This window comes from Homo sapiens, chromosome 8, assembly GCF_000001405.40.
Source record: "Homo sapiens chromosome 8, GRCh38.p14 Primary Assembly".
NCBI lineage: Eukaryota > Metazoa > Chordata > Mammalia > Primates > Hominidae > Homo > Homo sapiens.
In genome coordinates this window covers 123403479-123426749 of record NC_000008.11, presented here as the reverse complement: position 1 = coordinate 123426749, position 23271 = coordinate 123403479, and the positions used below count along the sequence as shown (strand labels likewise).

The 23271-nt window shown below is 45.9% G+C and overlaps 2 protein-coding genes across 18 annotated transcripts in view, besides 8 other annotated features; one reads left to right on the top strand and one right to left on the bottom strand.

Moving 5' to 3' along the window:
- NTAQ1 (N-terminal glutamine amidase 1) overlaps positions 1 to 10025 on the bottom strand; it is a 58972-nt gene extending 48947 nt beyond the window's left edge. For 8 of the 16 annotated variants that reach the window (XR_007060738.1, XR_007060736.1, XR_928337.4 and 5 more), the window contains exon 1: positions 9818 to 9976. Coding sequence is in view for 2 of the 16 variants with exons in the window: in NM_018024.3 (NP_060494.1) it covers positions 9818 to 9900 (83 nt within the window). In the remaining 14 variants the exon portion in view is untranslated. Of the gene's footprint in view, positions 1 to 9817 lie in introns of all 16 variants that reach the window. The other 8 variants (XR_007060742.1, XR_002956636.2, XR_002956635.2 and 5 more) reach the window with 2 other exon arrangements.
- Positions 9210 to 9804: an enhancer, noted in NCBI's record as "H3K27ac hESC enhancer chr8:124429186-124429780 (GRCh37/hg19 assembly coordinates)". NCBI's record gives its function as "activates a minimal SCP1, AML or CMV promoter by ChIP-STARR-seq in primed H9 embryonic stem cells {active_cell/tissue: H9 hESC(primed)}" and the evidence as "EXISTENCE:reporter gene assay evidence [ECO:0000049][PMID:30033119]".
- Positions 9210 to 9807: a biological region, named in NCBI's record as "H3K27ac hESC enhancer GRCh37_chr8:124429186-124429780".
- Positions 9238 to 9287: a silencer, noted in NCBI's record as "silent region_19501". NCBI's record gives its function as "represses an Ori minimal core promoter by ATAC-STARR-seq in GM12878 lymphoblastoid cells {active_cell/tissue: GM12878}" and the evidence as "EXISTENCE:reporter gene assay evidence [ECO:0000049][PMID:35858748]".
- Positions 9608 to 9807: a silencer, noted in NCBI's record as "silent region_19500". NCBI's record gives its function as "represses an Ori minimal core promoter by ATAC-STARR-seq in GM12878 lymphoblastoid cells {active_cell/tissue: GM12878}" and the evidence as "EXISTENCE:reporter gene assay evidence [ECO:0000049][PMID:35858748]".
- Positions 9918 to 10397: a silencer, noted in NCBI's record as "silent region_19499". NCBI's record gives its function as "represses an Ori minimal core promoter by ATAC-STARR-seq in GM12878 lymphoblastoid cells {active_cell/tissue: GM12878}" and the evidence as "EXISTENCE:reporter gene assay evidence [ECO:0000049][PMID:35858748]".
- Positions 10400 to 23271, top strand: part of ATAD2 (ATPase family AAA domain containing 2) — a 96501-nt gene continuing 83629 nt past the window's right edge. The window contains exons 1-2 of one of the 2 annotated variants that reach the window (XM_047421722.1): positions 10400 to 10502; positions 14573 to 14670. The gene's annotated coding sequence lies outside the window, so the exon portion shown is untranslated. The remainder of the gene's footprint in view (positions 10503 to 14572; positions 14671 to 23271) is intronic. The other variant, XM_047421723.1, reaches the window with a different exon arrangement.
- Positions 12315 to 12515: a silencer, noted in NCBI's record as "peak7156 fragment used in MPRA reporter construct". NCBI's record gives its function as "represses an SCP1 promoter by STARR-seq MPRAs in K562 erythroleukemia cells {active_cell/tissue: K562}" and the evidence as "EXISTENCE:reporter gene assay evidence [ECO:0000049][PMID:32103011]".
- Positions 15429 to 15929: an enhancer, noted in NCBI's record as "H3K4me1 hESC enhancer chr8:124423061-124423561 (GRCh37/hg19 assembly coordinates)". NCBI's record gives its function as "activates a minimal SCP1, AML or CMV promoter by ChIP-STARR-seq in primed H9 embryonic stem cells {active_cell/tissue: H9 hESC(primed)}" and the evidence as "EXISTENCE:reporter gene assay evidence [ECO:0000049][PMID:30033119]".
- Positions 15930 to 16430: an enhancer, noted in NCBI's record as "H3K4me1 hESC enhancer chr8:124422560-124423060 (GRCh37/hg19 assembly coordinates)". NCBI's record gives its function as "activates a minimal SCP1, AML or CMV promoter by ChIP-STARR-seq in primed H9 embryonic stem cells {active_cell/tissue: H9 hESC(primed)}" and the evidence as "EXISTENCE:reporter gene assay evidence [ECO:0000049][PMID:30033119]".

The following is a 23271-nucleotide window of genomic DNA, read 5'->3' as shown; positions in this document are numbered from 1 at the left end:
GATCTCAAGTGATCCACCTACCTCAGCCTCCCAAAGTGCTGGGATTACAGAGTGAGCCACCGTGCCCAGCCTATGCTTATTTTTAGAGACAGGGTCTCACTCCATAGCCCAGGCTGAATGAAGTGCAGTGGCTCAACCACAGCTCACTGCAGCCTCAAACTCCCAGCCTCAGCCTCCTGAGTAGCTGGGACCACAGATGCACATCACCACACCCAACTAATTTTAAAAATTATTTTTGTGTGTGTGGAGACAAGGTCTTGCCATGTTGCTCAGGCTGGTCTTGAACTGCTGAGCTCAAGCAATCTTCCCACCTCAATCTTCCTAAGTACTGGGATTACAGGTATGAGCCACTGTGCCTGGCCTTCTCAAGAGGCCTGATTTTTAGAAAGTTCTTTCTCATACTGAACTGAAATCAATCTTCCCATACCTTTGCCCCAGATGAATCTCTCTTCTACGTGACAGGTCTTTGGCTATCTGAAGCAGTAGTCAGAACCCACCTAAGTAAAGTGATGCCCAGTAGTACATCAAACAGAGCAGTAACTGAGCTGCACCTCCATGCACAGGAAACCAGTCACTTCGGGCAGTACTCACAGCTCAGCTGTTGGGTTCCTATCTTTTTCTAGTAAGATACACGCACCTTTGCTCAAAATGAGGTACACTAACACTCTGTTCACAGAATGTGGCTCAGTCTGTCAAAGCCTAGTTTCTTTTTTGCAGGGGGGAGCGGGGACGGAGTCTCGCTCTGTCACCCAGGCTGGAGTGCAGTGACACAATCTCAGCTCACTACAACCTCCACCTCCTGGATTCAAGCGATTCTCCTGCCTCAGCCTCCCAAGTAGCTGGGACTACAGATGCATGCCACCACTTCTGGCTAATTTTTGTATTTGTAGTAGAGATGGGGTTTCACATGTTGGCCATCACATGTTGGCCATGGCTGGTCTTGAACTCCTGACCTCAGGTGATCCACCTGCCTCGGCCTCCCAAAATACTGGGATTACAGGTGTGAGCCACCACGCCCGGCCCAAAGCCTAATTTCATCCACGCCATGCTACCTAAAAATGAAGCAAGGCATGAACAGCCCTGAGGATGGTCACCATCTTACAGAAGTAGACACTCTTTCAGTTCATCAATCTTTGCCTTGCCTGTCTCAAATGCTCTATAAAACTAGGCTTAAAATACGGAAGTTGGACATGTTTTTCTCCCATGGTTTTCCTTTTCTCTAAAATAACTAGGAAACTACAAGGGAAAAGTGATGGTTGTGGTTAAAAAAAAAAAAAAGTGGGGGGGTGGGAAGATTGCTACTGCTACTGACTACTTCATATGATATGTACTATAGAGTAATAAAAATTTACTGACTGGGCCGGGCATGGTGGCTTACGTCTGTAATCCCAGCACTTTGGGAGGCTGAGGCACGTGGATCACCTGAGGTCAGGAGTTTGAGACCAGTCTGGCCAATATGGTGAAACTCTGTCTCTACTAAAAATACAAAAATTAGCTGGGCGTGGTGGCTGATGCCTGTAATCCCAGCTACTCGGGAGGCTGAGGCAGGAGAATCGCTTGAAACCAGGAGGCGGAGGTTGCAGTGAGCCAAGATTGTGTCACTGCACTCCAGCCTGGGCGACAGAGAGAGACAACCTCTAAAAAAAAAAATTTTATTGACTGTTTCAACATGACATATGGTATATGTCATATTACGTCACAATAAAATTTCCTTAATCTAAATGTTCTAAGGCCAGGTTTGAAGAAGACAATTATCTCTCTGGCTTATACAAGTTTTTCGGGAGTTTACCGCAAATACCTTCAAGAGCTTATAATGTACAAAATACTGTGCTAAGTGCTTGGAGGATATGATGATAAATTAGAGCTTACAGACCATGAGCAGAGACATACAAATCCATAACTGGCAAGCATCATAGAAGGCCATAAAAGATGCATGCAGAAAGGAAGAGGGTGTCATTAATTCGGAGGGATATGGGAAGAGGTATAGGTTGTAGTTTCTCTTTGTTCATTCCCCTCTAAGGGTGGGCTTAGAGTTAATACAAAGGGGCCAGGCGAGGTGGTTCATGCCTGTAATCCAGGCACTTTGGGAGGCCAAGGCAGGCGGATCACCTGAGGTCAGAAGTTTAAGACCTTGGATCACCTGAGGTTGGGAGTTCAAGACCAGCCTGGCCAACATGACGAAACCCTATTAAAAATACAAAAATTAATGGCCAGGCGCAGCAGCTCACGCCTGTAATCCCAGCACTCTGGGAGGCCGAAGCGGGTGGATCATGAGGTCAGGCGTTCAAGACCAGCCTGGCCAACATAGTGAAACCCCGTCTCTACTAAAAATACAAAAAATTAGATGGGTGTGGTGGCAGGCACCTGTAATCCCAGCTACTCAGGAGGCTGAGGCAGGAGAATTGCTTGAACCTGGGAGGCGGCGGTTGCAGCAAGCTGAGATCGTGCTACTGCACTCCAGCCCAGGCAACAGTGCAAGACTTCGTCTTAAAAAAAAAAAAATACAAAAATTAGCTAGGCGTGGTGGCACAAACCTGTAATCCCAGCTACTTGGGAGGCTGAGGCATGAGAATCACTTGAGCCCGGGAGGCACAGGTTGCAGTGAGCCAAGATCGCACCACTGCACTCCAGCCTGGGTGACAGAGTGAGACTTCATCTCAAAAAAAAAAAAAAAAAACGCATAAAAATAAAAACACAAAATCAGCCGGGCGTAGGAGCATGCACCTATAATCCCAGTTACTCAGGAGGCTGAGGCACAAGACTCACTTGAACCCGAGAGGCAGAGGTTGTAATAAGCCAAGATTGCACGACTGCTCCTCCAGCCTGGGTGACAGAGCAAGACTCCATCTAAAAATTAAAAATAATAATAATAATAATAAAAACTACAAAGAGTTCATGAATCCACAGATACCACAAGCACCACTGGTAAGCTGAATACATAATGTGGCTTGAACATACACTGTTATTTTTGAAATATATGTAAATGTTACACAGAAAAAAATGTAAACTTCGTAAAAGTCACTGACTTTTTAGTCCCTTTTAGTCAGCAATTGTTTTTCAAGAGCATAACGAATATCATGTAGGAGAATCCCATGAAAGTTTCAATGTTAAAAAAAAGGGGGAGATGATCTTATACTCGGAAATACAAGGAGTCACAGCTGAAACAAAAATACCTGTAGGTGGGGTGCAGTAGCTCACAACTGTAATCCCAATGCCTCGGCTGAGGTGGGAGGATAACTTGAGCTCAGGAGTTTGAAACCAGCCTAGGCAATGTAGCAAGACCCTCCGGAAAGAAAAAGAAAGAAAGAAAGAAAAAGAGAAACAGAAGAGAAGGAAAAGGAGGGAAAGGAAGGAAAAGGAGGGAAAGGGAGGAAAAGGAGGGAAAGGAAGGAAAGGAGGGAAAGGAAGGAAAAGAAAGACAAAGAAAGAAAAAAGAAGAGAAGAGAAAACAAAAGAAGAGAAGGAAGGAAAGAGAGAGACAGAAAGAAAGGAGGGAAGGAGGGAGGGAAGGAGGGAGAGAGGGAAGGAAGGAAGGGAGGGAGGGAAAGGAAGGAAGAGCAAGCGAGTTGTGGAAGAATTAGAAGAAACTATTCTAAAACTCATATGCACCAAAAAAGAGCCCAAACAGCCAAAACAATCCTAAGCAAAAAGAACAAAGCTGTAGGCGTCACACTACCCAACTTCAAATTATACTAGAAGGCTATAGTAACCAAAACAGCATGGTACTGGTACAAAAACAGACACACGGACCAATGGAACAGGTTAGAGAACCCAGAAATAAAGCCGCATATTTACATTTACAACCATCTGATCTTCAACAAAGTCCAATAACAAGCAATGGGGAAAGGATTCCCTATTTAATAAATGATGCTGGGATAGCTGGCTAACCATATGCAGAAGATTGAAACTTGACCCCTCCCTTTCACCATATACAAAAATCAACTCAAGATGGATTAAAGACTTAAATGTAATACCTAAAACTATAAAACCCTAGAAGAAAACCTAGGAAATACCACTCCAGACATAGGCCCTGGCAAAGATTTCATGATGAAGACTCCAAAAGCAACGGCAACAAAAACAAAAATTGACAAGTGAGACCTAATTAAACTAAAGAGCTCTGCACAGCAAAAAAAAAAAAAAAAACTATCAATGGAGTAAATAGACAACCTACAGCCAGGCATGGTGAGGCTCGTGCTTGTAATCCCAGCACTTTGGGAAACCCAGGCAGGAAGATCACTTGAGCCCAAGAGTTCAAGATGAGCCTGGGCAACATAGAGAGACCCTGTCTCCACAAAAAGTAAAAAAAATTAACCAGGCATGCTGGCACACATCTCTAATTTCAGTTGCTTGGGAGGCTGACGTGAGAGGATTACTTGAGCCTGGGAGGTCAAGTCTGCAATGAGCTATAATTGTGCCACTGCACTCCAGCCTGGGTGACAGAGTGAGACCCTGTCTCAAAAAAAAAAACCCAAAACAAAAAACAGACTACCTACAGAATGCAAGAAAATATTTGCAAACTATGCATCTGATAAAGTCTAATATCCAGAATCTATAAGGAACTTAAATAAACAAGCAAAAAACAACCCCATTAAAAAATAGGCCAAGGACATGAACAGATACTTCTTCTCAAAAGCAGATAGGCACAGTGGCTCACATCTATAATCTCAGCACTTTGGGAGGCCAAGGCGCGTGGATCACTTGAGGTCAGGAGTTCAAGACCAGCCTGGCCAACATGGTGAAACATTGTCTCTATTAAAAATACAAAACTTAGGCTGGGCGCGGTGGCTCACGCCTGTAATCCCAGCACTTTGGGAGGCCGAGGCAGGCGGATCACGAGGTCAGGAGATCCAGACCACGGTGAAACCCTGTCTCTACTAAAAAAAAATACAAAAAATTAGCCGGGTGTGGTGGTGGACACCTGCAGCCCCAGCTACTCGGGAGGCTGAGGCAGGAGAATGGTGTGAACCCAGGAGACGGAGCTTGCAGTGAGCCAAGATCACGCCACTGCACTCCAGCCTGAGCAACAGAGCAAGACTCCGTCTCAAAAAAAAAAAAGAAAAGAAAAATACAAAACTTAGCTGGGCATGGTGGTGCACACCTGTAATCCCAGCTACTCTGGAGGCTCAGCTGGGAGCATCACTTGAACCTGGGAGGCAGAGGTTGCAGTGAGCCGAGATCGAGCCACTGCACTCCACCCTGGGCAACAGAGTAAGACTCCATCTCAAAAAAAAAAAAAAGGAAAAAGAGACATGCACATGGCCAATAAGCATATGAAGAAATGCTCAACAACACTAATCATTAGAGAAACGCAAATCAAAACCACAATGAGATACCATCTCACTCCAGTCAGAATGACTATTCTTAAAGTCAGGCCAGGTGCAGTAGCTCACATCTGTAATCCCAACAGTTCGGGAGGCCAAGGCAGGAAGACTGCTTGAGCCCAAAAGTTCAAGACCAGCCTGGGCAACATGGCACAACCCCACACTACAAAAAATATAAAAATTAGCTGGGCATGGTGGTGCACACCTGTAGCCCCAGTTACTCGGGAGACTGAAGTGGGAGAATTGATTGACACCAGGTCGAGGCTGCAGTGAGCCATGATTGCACCACTGCACTCCAGCCTGGGTGACAGAGTGAGATTCTGTCTCAAAAAAATGAATAAATAGGCCGGGTACGGCAGCTCATGCCTATAATCCCAGCACTTTGGGAGGCCGAGGCAGGCAGACCAAGAGGTCAAGAGATCAAGATAATCTTGGCCAACATGGTGAAACCCCGTCTCTACTAAAAATACACAAATTAGCTGGGCATGGTGGTGCATGCCTGTAGTCCCAGCTACTTAGGAGGCTGAAGCAGAACCGCTTGAACCCAGGAGGCGGAGGTTGCAGCGAGCCTAGATTGCACCACTGCACTCCAGCCTGGTGACAGAGTAAGAATCCGTCTTAAATAAATAAATAAATAAATAAAAATAAACAAATAAAAATAATTTAAGAAGTCAAAAAAGTGGTGATGCCCACCTGTACTCCCAGCTACTTAGGAAGCTGAGGTGAGAGGATCACTTAAGCCCAGGAAGTTGAGGTTGCAGTGAGTCATGATCATGCCACTGCACTGTAAGCCTAGGTGACAGAGTGAGACCCTGTCTCAAAAAAAAAAAAAAAAAAAGGCAAAAAATAACAGACGCTGGCAAGTTGGTGGAGAAAAGGGGATGCTTATACACTCCTGGTGGGAATGTAAATTAGTTAAGCCACTGTGGAAAGCAGTTTGGAGATTTTTCAAAGAACTTGAAACAGAACTATGATGCGACCTAGCAATCCCATTACTGTGTATATACCCAAAGGAATATAAATCCTACTATTAAGACACATGCACATATATGTTCATCACAGCACTATTCATGATAGCAAAGATGTAGAATCAACCTAGGCACCTATCAATGGTGAACTGGATCAAGAAAATGTGGTATATATCATCCACCATGGAATACTACACAGCAATGACAAAGAACAAAAATCATGTCATTTGCAGCAACATGGATGGAGCTGGAGGCCAATATCCCAAGTGAATTAACACAGGGACAGAAAAGCAAACACTGAATATTCTTGCGTATAAGTGGGAGCTAAACCTTGAGTACACATGGACACAAAAAAGGAAACAGTAGACATGGGGCCTACTTGAGGGTAGAGGGTGACAGGAGGGTGAGGATCAAAACTATCTATCTGGTAGTATGCTCACTATCTGGGTGACAAAATAATTTGTACACCAAACCCCCAACACATACACTTTACCCATGTAACAAACCTGCACATGTAACCCCAAATCTAAAATAAAAGTTGGAAGGGAAAAAAACTCAAACAAAATATGTGATTGGATAATATCTGAAATGTTCTTTAAACTCTAAACAAAAGCATAAGGGACTCAAAAAAGGGAGAGAGGGAGGGAGGGAAGAAAGGAATGAAGGAAGGAGGGAGGGAGGGAGGGAAGAAAGGAAGGAAGGAAGGGAGGGAGGGAGGGAGGGAGGGCTGTGGATTTGCCCCAAGCTGTCAGCTGATCATCTTGGCAGCAGAAAGGTTGGGACACTCCAGGGGTTCCCAGTGATGAGCTGAGGTCAGAGATGCATGCAGATGGGGAGGACCCCTGGCACAAAGCAGGCACTCCACAATTGTTTGAAAAACACAAAACAATTAAGTCAGAATCAGAAATGCTCTGCTGACGACACAGTCCCAAACAAATACTGGCTGCCACTATTATCATTAAGCAGGGTCTTGAAGCGTAAGTAACATCTGGAAGCTAACATGACGGAAGCTAACAGAAGTAGACAGGAGGCATTCATTTCAACTTAAAAAACCTGCAGGATGGCCGGGCACGGTGACTCACACCTGTAATCCCAGAATTTTGGGAGGCTGAGGCAGGTGGATCACCTGAGGTCAGGAGTTCAAGACCAGCCCAGCCAATGTGGTGAAACCCCGTCTCTACTAAAAATACGAAAATTAGCTGGGCATGGTGGTGGGTGCCTGTAGTCCCAGCTACTCAGGAGGCTGAGGCAGAAGAATGGCTTGAGCCTGGGAGGTGGAGGCTGCAGTGAGCCAAGATGGCATCATTGCACTCCAGCCTGGGCAACAGACTGAGACTCTGTCTCAAAAAAAAAAAAAAAAAAAAAAAAAAAAAAAAAAACCCCCAAAGCTGCAGGAGCCAAAGTAGTGTGGTGTCCCCACCTGATGTGTTCAGACAGGGTAGAGCACTGGTTCTCAGCAAGAGGCGATTTTGCCCCCCAACCCCTACAGGACACTTAGCAATGTCTGGAGACATTTTTGGTTGTCATAACTAGGGCTAGGGTGCTAACAGTATCTAGTGGGTAGAAGCCAGGGATGCTGCTACACGTCCTGCAATACACAGGACAGCCTCCATAGCAAGGAATTATCATGCTCAAAATGTCACTCAAGCCAAGATGGAGAAACTCTGTGGTAGAGTGGTCATCTCTTACCATTCTTCTACAAGACTGCTCTAACTCCAATACTCCAGTTGTACCAGCCTCCTCACTGTTCCTATCACACTCACAGCACCATTCCTTCTCAGAGCCTTTGTACCTGCTGTTCTCCCTGCTTAAACAACCATCCTCCAATAGTTGCAAAGCTCCCACCCTCTTTTTTCAGATCTCTTTTCAAATATCACCTTATCAACAATGTCTTCTCAAAATATCCTAATAGAAGATAAGTCACCATCCTTTATCTTATTTTTCTCATAGTATTTAACATCACCCAAACATGGTTTACTTGTTTTTTTGGCTTTTTATTTTTTTTTTTTTTTTGAGATGGAGTCTTGCTCTGTTGCCCAGGCAGGAAGGGGCAGTGGCATCAGCTCACTGGAACCTCCACCTCCCAGGTTCAAGCGATTTTCCTGCCTCAGCTTCCCGAGTAGCTGGGATTACAGGTGCACGCCACCACACCTGGCTAATTTTTGTATTTTTAGTAGAGGCAGGGTTTCTGCATGTCGGCCAGGCTGGTCTCAGACTCCTGGCCTCAAGAGATCCGCCCACCTCGGCCTCCCAAAGTGCTGGAATTACAGGCGTGAGCCATCGCACCGGGCCTTATCTGCTTTTCTCTCAAAATGAAAGAACCAAGGGATCCATGAGGGAATTTGTCGATTTTGTTCACTGCTATATCCCCAGTGCCCAGAAGTATGCCACATACTCCAAGTGCCTAATAAACATTTATTGAATGAATGAATAAAACAATGACTGGACATTAGGGAGGAGAACTAACGGGATTTAGAAGAGAGGCAGGACAGAAAAATAGTGCAGTAGTTAAGATGCATGAACTTCAGAATCACGAAGAGGTTCCAGTTTCAGCACCACCACTTGCTAGATGTGTGATTTGGGGGCACAGAACAGCCTCTCTGTGGCTCAGTCTTTTTATTAGTAAAATGAGGATAACGATAATAAAAGAAGGTACCTCCTGGACATCGATGGAAGCACCTGCCACTGAGCCTGACATGCAATCAGGGCCGAACAAATGTTAAGCTCTTGGTGGCATTGGTTTAGTGACCAGCAGAAGGGGGAGGAGTAGGTTTAGATAGCACTGAGGTTTCCTGTACAAGGACTAGAAGCTGGGGAAGAAGCCATTACTCAGGAAAGAGTAGGTATGAGGACTAAGGCAAGGGCGGTACTTCAGCTGCAGAGGTGGCCTAGGACAGGGGTGCACTGCGTGGATTCCGGGGCCAGACCCTGACTGTAAATCCCCACTCCTTCATTCACAAGCTACGTGGCCCTGCGCAAATTACTTGCAGCCCTCTGTGCTTCAGTGCTCTCATCTTTCAACTGGGGATAACAATACCTACCTCTTACGGTTATTGTGATGCTCAGTGATTTAGTTTACCTAAACCACCCAGAACAACGCGTGGCATATAGCAAGTGCTGTATGAAAAACTCTCCGTGCCTTCATTCTCTTACAAAATTAAAATGACCTTCACCTCAGTCTGAAACCCCACAGGCTTCAGCAGAGTAACCCCCAAAGATTTTCAGAGCTCCACCCTTCCTGGCCCCGAAGCAGAGATCTGCTGAGCAAATCCAACCGACAAGCGCCAGGCACAGGTAATGCACTATCGACCCTATGATTCCGGACGAATTCCCAACCCCATCCAATAGCCCACGCTCTACTCAAGAGACGAGAGCTGCCATTCCCGCTCCCTCCTCCCGCAAAACTGTAGAACCCGCCGGTAGAGGCCGGGAGCGCCCCCGAGGAGGGGCCGGGAAGAGGCGGGGCCCGGTTGCGACTCGCCGCCCGGGAGCCTGGGAGACCCAGAGGCTGCGCCCGCGCCCCCTCACCAGTAGCAGCTGCTGTAGACGCAGGCGTCCCGCGGGGGGCTGGCCGGCTGGTAGTGGACAGCAGCGGGGCCATTACCTTCCATGGCCGGCTAGCTGGGCCAGGGCCCGGGCCGGAGGAAGACCGACTGGACCAGACGTAGGAAAGGGCGGGCTTGTAGTGGCCCGCGTGGGTTCCCGGCGTGGGGTGGGCGGAGCCCGGGGGGAGAGGGCCGGGGCAGTTTCCGGGTGGTGGGGCCAGTAGCGCGGTGGGCGGGGCCAGGGCGGGACTAGCAGCACGAGTTCCCGGCGCGGGAAGCCCGGGACGAAGTAGGCGGAGCTCGGGGCAAGCGGCGCCAGTTCCTGGGAGGGTGGAGCCCAAGCGAAGTGGGCGGGTCCGGGGTGGGGTGAGTGGCGCGAACTCCCGGTGGGCGGAGCCCGGGACGAGGAGGACAGCGCGCTTCCGGGTAGGCGGAGCCCGGCTGGTGGGTGGGGCCCGGGATGGGGCGGGACTGGAGGACCGGGCTCTGGTGGGCGGAGTCAGGGGCGGGGCCCCGGTGAGCTTTGGGAGAAGAGGGGTCTCTGGCGGCGGCTTGGGGAGGAGCTAGGTTTGGGCTTGGAGTTGGGCCCTGAATGGCGCTTTGCTGTGAATCTCCGCGGGGAGGCTCTTCCAACCAGGGGCTGAGCTTCTGCGCTGTGGAGAAGCCAGGTGAGACACTGAAATAACAGAGGTTTGGGTGTGAAAATCCACGCTTCTGCACTCAGCCTGGAGTCTGCGGGAGCCCAGAGAAGAGGGGAGTGGAGGTTAATTCCAATATGACCGCATCGAGGACGCTTTCCGAAAGGGATAGCACCCCAAATCTCACTCTATTGTAACTTAATCTTTTAAATTGGAAGGCCTGTAGCTATTGGCTCGAAAAGATATATTAATTCCCTGATACAGTAAATTTGAAAAAAAAAAGTTTAAAGAGTCCATATGGTATCCTTTTTGTGTTAATCATATATTTTGTTCAATTACTGGCAGTCTGGAAGAAAAGACACCATATTGTTAAAATAGTGTTTAGGGCCGGGTGCGGTGGCTCACGCCTGTAATCCCAGCACTTTGGGAGACCGAGGCGGGTGGATCACGAGGTCAGGGGTTCGAGACGAGCCTGGCCAACATGGTGAAACTCCGTCTCTACTAAAAATACAAAAATTAGTTGGGCGTGGAGGCGCGCGCCTGTAATCCCAGATACTCGGGAGGCTGAGGCAAGAGAATCGCCTGAACCCGGGAGGCGGAGGTTGCAGTGAGCCGAGATGGTGCCATTGCACTCCAGCCTGGGCAACAGGGTGAGACTCCGTCTCAAAAAAAAAAAATAGTGTTTATCTCTGGTGAATGAATGATATTAATATCAGGGACTTTCAGTTTCAAGGTCTTTACACTTTACAGTCTTCTGAATTGTTTATATTTGCAATGAGCATAGCTAGCTAATCAGGGTACTTCCCATTATAAAAACTGAGATGTTTACATTGATTTTAGCCATCCACAGTTGGATTCTCCAATCTCTTCAGTCTCAAAGCTGATAAATCCTAAAGACTTGGAGCACAGTTCCTGTGTCAATTACCAATTTTATTGCCTCTCAGCTCCTAATACAAACTTCCACATAGCCTCTATGCTATATAACAACTCTGGTAAACATTTCTCCTTTAAAGTGAGTGGGAAACCCTATAAGCTAGAAGGGATTGGGGCCCTATCTTTAGCCTCCTCAAACAAAACAATTATCAGCCAATAATTTTGTATCCAGCGAAACTAAGCATCATATATTAAGGAAAGATACAGTCTTTTTCAGACAAATGGTGAGAGAATTTGCCACTACCAAGCCACCACTACAGGAACTGCTAAAAGGAGTTCTAAATCTTGAAACAAATCCTGGAAACACATCAAAACAGAACCTCGTTAAAGCATAAATCACACAGGACCTATACAACAAAAATACAATTTAAAAAACAACAAAAAAAAACAAGGTACACAGGCAACAAAGCACGATGAATGGAATGGTACCTCACAAGTCAATCCTAACATTGAATGTAAATGGTCTAAATGCTCCATTTAAAGTGAGTGGGACAGGTGTAGTGGTGAGAACATCCTTGTGGAGTCTGCCCCAGCCCCAGACTCAGAACATGGTCCCTTCCTAACCTTGCAGGTTTAGCCTGGCAATAACCTTTCTTCAGCCTCTTGACACAAAAACCAGGGTCCTCCCTAACCCTACCTTCTATACGGTAAGGTACTGAATAGAGTTTCCTTATGTGTTATCGTTATGCCTTTATCATAGTTAATAATAATTTTTTGGTGGGGGACAGGGTCTCCCTCTGTCACCCAGGCTGGAGTGCAGTGGTGCAATCATAGCTCACTACAGCCTCAAACTCCTGGGCTCAAGTGATCCTCCAGCCTCAGCCTCCTGAGTAGCTGAGACTGCAGGCACGCACCACCGTGCGCAGCTAACATAATTAATAGTTCTTTACATTTAACTTCCCTTGCTTGACCTACTGTGTAGTTTCTTATCCTGATTGGGCACAAACTACTTACTATAGGACTTTGAAGCTAGGCTGGGTAGGTTCTACAACTTGCCAGTTGGGTCACCTTGGGCAAAGTTACTTCACTCTTCTGTGTCTCACTTTCCTCATCTGTAAAATGAAGTTAAAGATAATGCTACTACCTCATAGGGTCATTATGAGGATTAGTTGAGTTTATGTATATAAAGTACTTAGAATAGTTGGTAGCATATAATATAAATGTTAGCAACTATGATTTTTTGTTAAAAAAATCTGATTTCATTATTTCCCGCATACCCTATACTTTTTTTTTTTTTTTTTTTTTTTTTTTTGAGATAAGAGTCTCACTCTGTCGCCCAGGCTGGAGTGCTGTGGTGCAATCTTGACTCACTGCAACCTCCGCCCCCACCACCCCAGCTAAATTGTGTATTTTCTTGTGGAGGTGAGGTTTCACCATGTTGGCCAGGCTGGTCTCAAATTCCTGACCTCAAGTGATCTGCCCGCCTCGGCCACCCTCCCCGCCGCCATACTCTTGTCACTGAGTGTCTTATTCTTCCTTTGATACCCCAAGCCTTTGCACAAGATGTATGTACACTCTGTCTGATGCATTCTTTCACATGCCTTATTTGCAGCTTTTCCCAGGAAGAGTTTATTGTTGGCTTCCATCTTCCTGGAGCTTTTTTTCCTGTTTTGTCACAACTTTTATTCATATGTCTTGAAAAGCAGTAGCATGCTCAGCAACTCAATCTGTCTCTACCTCTGCCATGAGCTCTTCCAGGGCATGGGTCTTGCCCTGAGAGGTAGAATAGTATAAATAGTGCTGTAGTCAGAAACACACTCAAATCTTATCTTGGCTACTTACTACCCTGAGTGACCTTGGATAAGTAACACTAGGATTTCTGAGCGTCAGTTTCTTTGCAAAATGAGGATAATAATAGTAGAGTGCTTATCTAATGGGTGCTGCAGTGAAAATTAAATAAACTAATCTCTGCAAAACACTTAGCATAGTGCCTGGCAGAACATAGGTACTGTCAAAAATAAACATAGCCGTTGACCATCAGTCAAAGCGATGAAAACAGATTTTATTCAGCAACTATTGACAGTAGGGGAAAGAGCTGAGCTCCATTCCAATTGTGCAGAGGTAATTTGGGCATTTGGAAAGAAGAATGAGGAAGCAGGGAGGAGTTGGGGGGGGGGGGGCGCTCATTAGAGCCAGGGAAGTGAAAATTACAAAGGGTTGGTCAGTGTAAATACCATTAGGCCAGTCGTGTCTGCTAGCTGGCAGTTATCTAAGTTAGGATTCTATCCTCCCACAGAGACTGGGAGTCAGAGGCCCTATCCTTCCTGATGATTACATTTCAAAGGAATGGCTCTCTAAGTCCTTGAGAAGGACTTCTGAGTTGTAAGTAATACATATTTACAATTCTAAGCCCTTTTAGTAAATGCTCTAAGAAAAGGAGGTCAGGGGCCTATCATCAGGTACTGGCAACAACAAATAGTAAATTTTCCTGGGAGCTTTGAGCTTTCTTAAGCAGGCATTTTAATGGGGGGTTTGGGGGAGAAGGCTGACATAGCCTTATACTGCTAGAAGCCATGCTAGAGTTTGGTCAAGTCTGTTAGTGCAGGGATTTGGAACCAAGTTGTGCTGAGAGTTCTGCAGTACTCAGTACCCTACGTAATAAACAACTACATAGGCCAGGTGTAGTGGCTCACCCCTGTAATCCTAGAACTTTGGGAGACCAAGGCGGGAGGATCGCTTGAGGTCAGTTTGAGACCAACCTAAGCAACACAGCAAGACCCTGTCTCTACAAAAAAAAAATTTTTTTTAATTAGCCAGGCATGGTGGTATCTGTAGTCCTAGGCACCCAGGAGGCTGAAGCAAAAGAATTGCTTGAGCCCAGGAGTTTGAGGCTGCAGTGAACTGTGATTACGCCACTGCACTCCAGCCTGGGCAACAGAGTGAGACCCTCATCTCTTAAAAAATAAATAAAATAACTTAAAAAAACTACATAATTTTGCAGTTATGATTATTATCACATAGCTCTGAGCAGGGTGTAAGCATTGTAGTTGGCATAAATCCTTGTTGAATTGATATTTTTATTAATTAAAATACAGGTGACATTGCTGTAACAAAGAAATCCAAAAATATTAGTGACTTAAATGAGATACAAATGCATCTCTCATTCCACAGCCTGAGCATATACATTCTAGAGCTGATATAGTGTCTCTGCAATATCTGTTACCCAGGCTCCTGATGTCTTATTGGGGGCCATATCTAGAGTGATGCCCTAGTTCGCGTGGCTGAAGATGGCTTGCCACCCTACCTGCTGATTGCATTCTGACTGGTAAGACCAGGGAAAAGGAGTAGTGGGAGGTTCAAGGACAAAATCTGCAGGTTATGCACATCACTCTGCTCACATTCCACTGACCAAAAGATGCTCACAGGATCACATCCAGGTGTAAAGGAGATCAGGAAACATACAGTTTATTCTGAGCAGTGCAGGTATTATTTGAGTGTCTCAAGCAAGAAGGGGAGAATGCATACTGAGAGATAGCCAGCAGTTTCTAATCTGCCATATTGTGCTTTTTTTTTTCTGTTTCTAAACTTTCTATTATAAGCAGGAATTACTTTTTATTTGTTTATTTATTTATTTATTTTTGCAGTTGCAAGATTTAATAGATTGAAATAGAGTGAAAACAGAGCTCCCATACAAAGGGAGGGGACCCAAAGGGGGTTGCCGTTGCCAGCTCAAATGCCTGGGTTTATATCCCGATCCTTGTCCCTCCCGCTGTGCTCTCAGGCAATAGATTGGCTATTTCTTTACCTCCTATTTTTTCCTAATTAGCATTTTAGTGAGCTCTCTGATTGGTTGGGTTTGAGCTAAGTTGCAAGCCCCGTGTTTAAAGGTGGATGCGGTCACCTTCCCAGCTAGGCTTACGGATTCTTAGTCGGCCTAGGAAATCCAGCTAGTCCTGTCTCTCAGTCCGCCCTCTCATCAGGAAAACCCAAGTGCTGTTGGGGAGGTTCGCCGACGACTGCTCTAACTGCTTCTTGCTGAATTGGGGCGTAGTAGGGGTTGTGCAGTTGAAATTTCCTGGGGAGGGGTGCCTTCGATGTCATTAACATCGGAGCATGGGCTAGCAGGCCAGTCCAGGGGTCCGCGGTAGATCTTAGTCATAGACTGCATCTGGGGCTGCATTTGAAGAATGATTTGTAGTTTTGCAGCTTTGATTCTGGAAGAGACAAACGCTTTGGAGGTCCCTTCAGGGTCTCCAAAATGTTACCAGGGGTCCTTGTTCACAAAGTTTCCAAGATGGTGGCAAGCCGCTTCCAAGATGGTGGCAAGCCTCCTGTTCTCTGACCTGGGGTTCTTGGCCTCATGGATTCCAAGGAATGGAATCTTGGGCCATGCGGTGAGTGTTATAGCTCCATTAGAAGCCGTGGGTCACGGAAGAGAACCGTGGAACCCAGTGACTAGTGTTCAGCTCGATTAGGATGAACCCGGGCACTTAGCCATGCAGGAACAATGGCAAGCCTTTAGCCCGATCCAGAGCGGCAATGGGCGCCTCGCTGGATCAGGAGCACAGCGGACACCCTGCCGGATCTGGAGGGATAGAAGTCAGTGGCGGGTCTGCCACGGCAGCAAACAGCAGTGGTGGACGGCGAGCGAAAGCTCAGCTTGAGCCGTAACAAGCATGGTCCAGAAGAGTGCAGTAGCAAGATTTAATAGAGTGAAATAGAGTGAAAACAGAGCTCCCATGCAAAGGGAGGGGACCCAAAGGGGGTTGCCCAGGAATTACTTTTTAGATTGAAAAAAATAGATCATAAAAAACATATAGGCTGGGCATGGTGGCTCACACCTGTAATCCCACACTTTGGGAGGCCAAGGCGGGTGGATCACTTGACGTCAGGAGTGTGAGACCAGCCTGACCAACATGGAGAAACCCCTGTCTCTACTAAAAATACAAAATTAGCCAGGTGTGATGGCGCATGCCCGTAATCCCAGCTACTCGGGAGGCTGAGGCAGGAGAATCGCTTGAACCTGGGAGGTGGAGGTTGCCGTGAGCTGAGAGTACACCATTGCACTCCAGCCTGGGCAACAAGAGCAAAATTCTGCTAATAAATAAATAAATAAATAAATAATATGATCCTACAATAGAAACTATAAAAACGGATATGGTTTCAGAAGAGTAGGAGATGGTTAGAACCAGATTCTGACCTACAAACTCCAATGATCTGGTTAAGGAAGAAATACGAAATGCTACTCAAAGAAACCTGTGTCCAGTGAAATTAAGATATTAATGGGCAGGTGTTTAGAAGAGAGATCAATAACAGAGGAAATTATAAGAAAGGCCACAGACATGTAAAAGGAGATCCAGGGAATCCACAGCACACAGTATATTGAGCTTTAATAACAAAAGGTTTTTTTTAAAGCTTTTTTTATTGGAAGGATGTGCTTTTAATGCTTTTTTTTTTTTTTTTTCCGAGATGGAGTCTCACTCTTGTCACACCCAGGCTGGAGTCTAGTGGTGCAATCTCGGCTCACTGCAACCTCCACCTCCCAGGTTCAAGCAGTTCTCCTGCCTCAGCCTCCCGAGTAGCTGGGACTACAGATGTGTGCCACGACACCCGGCTAATTTTTGTATTTTTAGTACAAAACTAAACCAACCCCAGGTGATCCACCTGCCTCAGCCTCCCAAAGTGCTGGGATTACAGACGCGAGCCCCTGTGCCCAGCCAAGGATTATTATTTAAAAACGAAAACTAGAATGGGTGTAGTAGCTCAAGCTTGTAATCCCAGCACTTTGGGAGACTGAGGCAGAAGGATCACCTGAGCCCAGGCGATCAAAGCTGTAGTGAGGTATGATTCAGCCACGGCACTCCAGCCTGTGTGACAGAGTGAGACCCTGTCTCAAAAGAAAAACAAATTGGCAAAACAAAATCAAAACCCTGACATTCCCACTGTTATTCTAATTTGCATTTATCTGATTTGCATTATGCTATTTTCCCAAGTTAAAGCGATCATTTCAATACAAAGCAATTTGTGCTATGGCAGCAATGTACTATGTGAACTCAGAGGGTAGAGTCCTTATCACTGGGGGTGGGAAGTTGGCTGGGTTGAAACACAATATGAGACCCATCTGAATTATATTGGGGTGGGAAGCAGGTCCATACTTGTGGTATTAGACTCACTGCTGTGTACCATACCTTACATGGGAAAACTGAGAAATTAAACTATGTATGTTCGGGAGAGGTCAATAGAGAGGTAAGGCCTGAAAACCACATTATAAGAATATATCAGCCGGGGCCGTGGCTCATACCTGTAACCCCAGCACTTTGAGGGGCAGAGGCGAGTGGATCACCTGAGGTCAGGAGTTAGATGAGTCTGGCCAACACAGCAAAACCCCGTCTCTACTAAAAATACAACAATTAGCTAGGCGTGGTGGCACGCGCCTGTAGTCCCAGCTACTGAGGAGGCTGAGCCACGAGAATCGCTTGAACTTGGGAGGCGGAGGTTGCAGTGAGCTGAGATGGCGCCACTGCACTACAGCCTGGGTGATAGAGCGAGACTCCGTCTCAAAAAAAAAAAAAAAGAATATATCTTCCAGGCCGGGCACGGTGGCTCACGCCTGTAATCCCAACACTTTGGGAGGCCGAGGCGAGTGAATCACCTGAGGTCAGGAGTTTGAGACCAGCCTGGCCAACATGGTGAAACCCTGTCTCTACTAAAAATACAAAAAGTAGCCGGGCATGGTGGCAGGCGCCTGTAATCTCAGCTACTTGGGAGGCTGAGGCAGGAGAATAGCTTGAACCCCAGAGGCGGAGGGTTCAGTGAGCCGAGAACGTGCCATTGCACTCCAGCCTGGGCGACAAGAGTGAAACTCTGCCTCAAAAAGGAAAGGAAAGGGAGGGGAGGGGACGGGAGGGGAGACCACCATTAATGCCATGGCTCTGTATCCTTTGCTCTGCCACCATGAATAATCTCTGCCCCGCATCTTTGGGTCATTCCTCCCAGAGGAAATAAATGCCTCAGATAGGAGCAGCCCATTGGCTGGTCCAAGGTCACATGCCTGAATCCTTATTGCCAGGTTTCCAGGGAAATGAAGTGTATTTCCCTGTAGGATTTCCACAGAAGGAGGCTGGGCCCTGCCTAAACCAAACCCACCCAAAGAGAAAAATCTCCCAGACAGAAGGGGAATCTGGGATATAGTTAAAACATGGAATAGAATAGCTAATATATGGCAAATGTCAAAATGTCTCCCCACCTCCATTCAATTAATTTTTTTTCTTCTTTTGTGGGAAATCAATAAGATTTGGTATACAATTTAAGTAAGCTCACATTTGCAACATTCCTAAAAGAAATCCCAGTCCAAATTAATGTTTACTTTCTAATTTTGCTACCAAAGAACAGAAAGGGACCCACCTATGACCTCATCCCAAATGAGGTAGTGGAATCATGATTAGCTCTTACCTGAGCCTCGTTTCTGTAGCACATGAAGTAAGAACACTTGAGTCTTTCTGAAGCAATTAGGGGTTACCAACAAGAACCTCCGTTTCTTTTTTTTTTTTTTGAGACGGAGTCTCACTCCGTCACCCAAGCTGGAGTGCAGTGACGCAATCTTGGCTCACTGCAACCTCCGCCTCCTAGGTTCAAGCAATTCTTCTGCCTCAGCCTCCCGAGTAGCTGGGATTACAGTCGTGTGCCACCACACCCAGCTAATTTTTGTATTTTTAGTAGAGATGGAGTTTTGCCATGTTGGCCAGGTTGAACTCTTGATCTCAAGTGATCCACCTGCCTCAGCCTCCCAAAGTGCTGGGACTACAGGCGCCCGCCACCACACCCAGCTAATTTTTGTATTTTTAGTAGAGATGGGGTTTTACCATGTTGGCCCAGCTGGACTTGAACTCCTGACCTCAGATGATCCACCTGCCTCAGCCTCCCGAAGTGCTGGGATTGCAGGTGTGAGCCACCACACCCAGCCTCTACTGCCTTATTATTATTTTTTTCCTAAATCAAGTCACTCCTAACTAGAATAGTTAAGATTAGAAAAGATAGAACTGGTCACCAAGAGAAGACCAATCCCAGACCAACTGTACTATATACATTTCCCAGGGGTGCTATATGTAACAAATTACCACAAACTTGGTAACCTTTAAAAACCAGGAATGTATTCTCTCACAGTTCAAGAGTCTGGAAGTCTGAAATCAAAGCGTCAGCCAGGTTGATTCTTTCTGGAGATTTGGAGGAAGAATCTGTTCCATGCTTCTCTCCTGGCTTGCAGTGGTTGCTGGCAAACCTTGGCATTTCTTGGCTTATAAACACATCACTGCAATCTCTGCCTGTCTTCACATCACTGCCTTCTCTGTGTCTGTATGCACCAATCTCTCTATGCTTTCCCTTATAAGAACACTAGTCATTGGATTTAGGGTTCACCATAAACGAGAATAATCTCATGTCGAGATTTTAATTACATCTGCAAAGATCCTATTTCCAAATCAGATCACATTCACAAGGGGAGGTTTATATCCTTTATGGGGGCACAGTTCAACTCACTAATCCAACCAAAAGCTAAAGCCAGTGTGGTAATTTTTTTTTTTTTTTTTTTTGAGACAGGGTCTCACTCTATCACCCAGGCTAAAGTGCAGTGGCGAGATCTCGGCTCACTGCAGCCTCCACCTCCCAGGCTCAAGTGATCCTCCTGACTCAGTCTCCCAAGCAGCCAAGAGTACTGGCGTGCACCACAACGCCCGGCTAATTTCTGTATTTTGGGTAGAGATGGGGCTTCACCATGTTGCCCAGGCTGGTCTTGAATCTCTGGCCTCAAAGGATCCTCCTGCCTTGGCCTCCCAAAATGTTGGGAGGGCTAAAGCCACCACACCCGGCTCCAGTGTGGTAATTCCTTAATGTTTAATATTATAAAGAGAGAATAAAGGAATAGAGAAAAGCTTTTGGCTGGCCATCTGTTAGTGTTCTGGAATTTTGATTTCTTTGCTTAGTTTTTTTTTTAATTTTATTAAAACTATTTTTTTTTTTTTTTTTTGGTGAGACAGTGTCCCGCTCTGTCCCCCAGGCTGGAGTGCAGTGGTGTGATCTTCTGGGCTCACTGCAACCTCTGCCTCCCAGTTTCAAACAATTCTCCTGTCTCAGCCTCCCAAGTAGCTGGGATTATAGGCATGTGCCACCACACCCAACTAATTTTTGTATTTTTAGTAGAGACACAGTTTCACTATGTTGGCCAGGCTAGTCTCGAACTCCTGGTGTCAAGTGATCCGCCTGCCTCGGCCTTCCAAAGTGCTGGGATTATAGGCATAAGCCACTATGCCCAGGCTGCCTTCATGTTTTATAACCCCAAGAATATCAATATTCTGACTTCTAACAGCAAAAGTTAGTTTTGTCTGTGTTTCTGCTTAATATAAAAGGAATTATTCAGGCTTCTTTTGCTTAATATTCTGTTTGTAAGATTTATTCATATTATTGCATCTAGTTGTTGTACATAGTTTTTGACCTAGCCATTGCACTTCTAGAAATTTATTCTACAGATACAATGTAGAAGTGATATTTGAACCTATTTATTCATAGCAGTTATGCAATAGCAAGAGAATGGAAACAAATGTTCAGCAAGAAAGGTCTACTTAAATAAAATACGGTGTGTCCACAGAGTGGACTATGATGTTGCTGAACAAAGAGAGGAAGTTCTTTATGTACTCACAGGGAAAGATCACTAAGACCTAGATAAAGAAGCACAGTACAGAACAGAGTGTACAGTATGCTACATTTGTGTAAACAGGGTGAAAATTAATACCCATGCAAACACATGCTCATACTTACTTGTATAGTATAAATCAGAGGTTAGAAAACTAGCCAGGTGTGGTGGTTCATGTCTGTAATCCCAGCACTTCGGAAGGCCGAGGTGGGCAGATCATCTGAGCTCAGGAGTTGGAGACTAGCTTGGCCGATATGGTGAAACCCCATCTCTACTAAAAATACAAAGAAAAAAAAAAAGCCAGGCTTCATGGTGCTTGCCTGTAATCCCAGCTACTCGGGAGGCTGAGGCAGAAGAATCACTTGAGCCTGGGAAGCAGAGGTTGCAGTGAGCTGAGGTCGCACCATTGCACTCCAGCCTGGGCAACAAGAGCAAAACTGCGTCTCAAAAAAAAAAAAAGAAAGAAAGAAAATGAAAAAGAAAACTATGACCTCCTTGGGACAAATACAGCCTGAGATCTGTTTTTGTAAATAAAGTGTTATTGAAACACAATCATGCCCATTTGTGTCTATATTGTATGTGGCCACTTTTTCACTACCATGGGATTGAGTAATTGCTACAAATATCATACCATCCACAAAACCTAGAATATTTACTCTCTGGCCATTTACAGAAAAAGTTTGCCAGCCCCTAGGGTAGTGGGTTAAATAGTGGCTCCAAAAAGATATTCAAGTCCCAACCCCCCTCTTATGTGTGAATGTGATCTGATTTGGAAACAGGGTCTTTGCAGATATAACTGAGATCTCAAAATGAGATCATTCTGGATTCAGGGTGTGCTCTAAATAGTTCAATGACTGACGTCCTTATGAGAGAAAGGGGGGGCTGGGCGCGGTGGCTCACGCCTGTAATCCCAGCACTTTGGGAGGCCGAGGTGGGTGGATCATGAGGTCAGGAGTTCAAGACCAGCCTGGCCAAAAATACAAAAATTAGCCAGGCGTGGTGGCGGGCGCCTGTAATCCCAGCTACTCTGGAGGCTGAGGCAGGAGAATCACTTGAACCCGGGAGGCAGAGGTTGCAGTGAGCCAAGATCGCGCCACTGCACTCCAGCCTGGGCGACAGAGCGAGACTCCATCTCAAAAGAAAAAAAAAAAAAAGAGAGAGAAAGTGGGGAGAGACTTGAGTACAAGCACAAAAAGACAGGAAAGAAGGACATATGATGTGAAAGCAGAGTGTGGACTTACACTCCTACAAGCCAAGAAACTCCGAAGGTTGTCAGCAGACACCAGCAGCTGGGAGACAGGCATGGAATAGATTCTCACTCAGAGCCCCCAGAAGGAAGCAACATGGCCAACACCTTGATTTTGGATTTCTTGCCTCCTTAACCATCAGAGAATAAATTTCTGTTGTTTTAAGCCACCAAGTTTTTGGTAAGTTGTTGCAGCAGCCTCAGGAAATGAACATACCTGATATAGATAACTCTGGAAGGATACCCAAGAAATGAATAACTTTGGTTGCTGATGGGAAGGGTGACAAGATGGCTAGGAAACGGGCATATGAAGGAGACTTTTAATCCATATGCTCCTTTGTAACTTAAAATTTAACCATATGAATATACTACATCTTGAAAAATAAATACAATGTAAGTAGAAAAGTTAATAACTCCTAATTGGTTTAGCCCAGAGAAGAGAGTTACCTCTGATTGTAGCAGGTGTCTAAAATAATCACTGTAAAGCATGTTGCCTTTTTAGTCTGCTCAGCTCTGACCAGCTAAAATAGCCTCCCCTCCTGCTGGTGTGGCTTCCTGTGGATGGCCTCACAAGGTCACTTTATGTCAACAGCACACCTAGACAAAGTCCTTCTGTTGAAGGCAGACAGGATCTTCTGTAGGCTGTGATCTGAAATAGATCCCCCATCTATGTCCATTTCGCATCTGCTCACTGCCACTAGTCCAGGCCGCCATCTTCTCTCACCAGGACAGTGCAGTAACCTCCTAGTTTTTCATTCTACATCTGTTCTTGCTACTTCCAATCATTCTCACCAAAGAGCCAATCATGTGACTTCTTTCCTTTGCTGTCCTTTCACAGCTGCTCTTTGCAAATGGATCAAAACCAAACTCCCATCCTGGCGTGGTGGTGCATGCCTGTAGTCCCAGCTACTCAGGAGGCTGAGGTGGGAGGATTGGTTGAATCCAGGAGTTCGAGGTTGTAGCAAGCTGTGATTGCGCCTGTGAATAGCCACTGC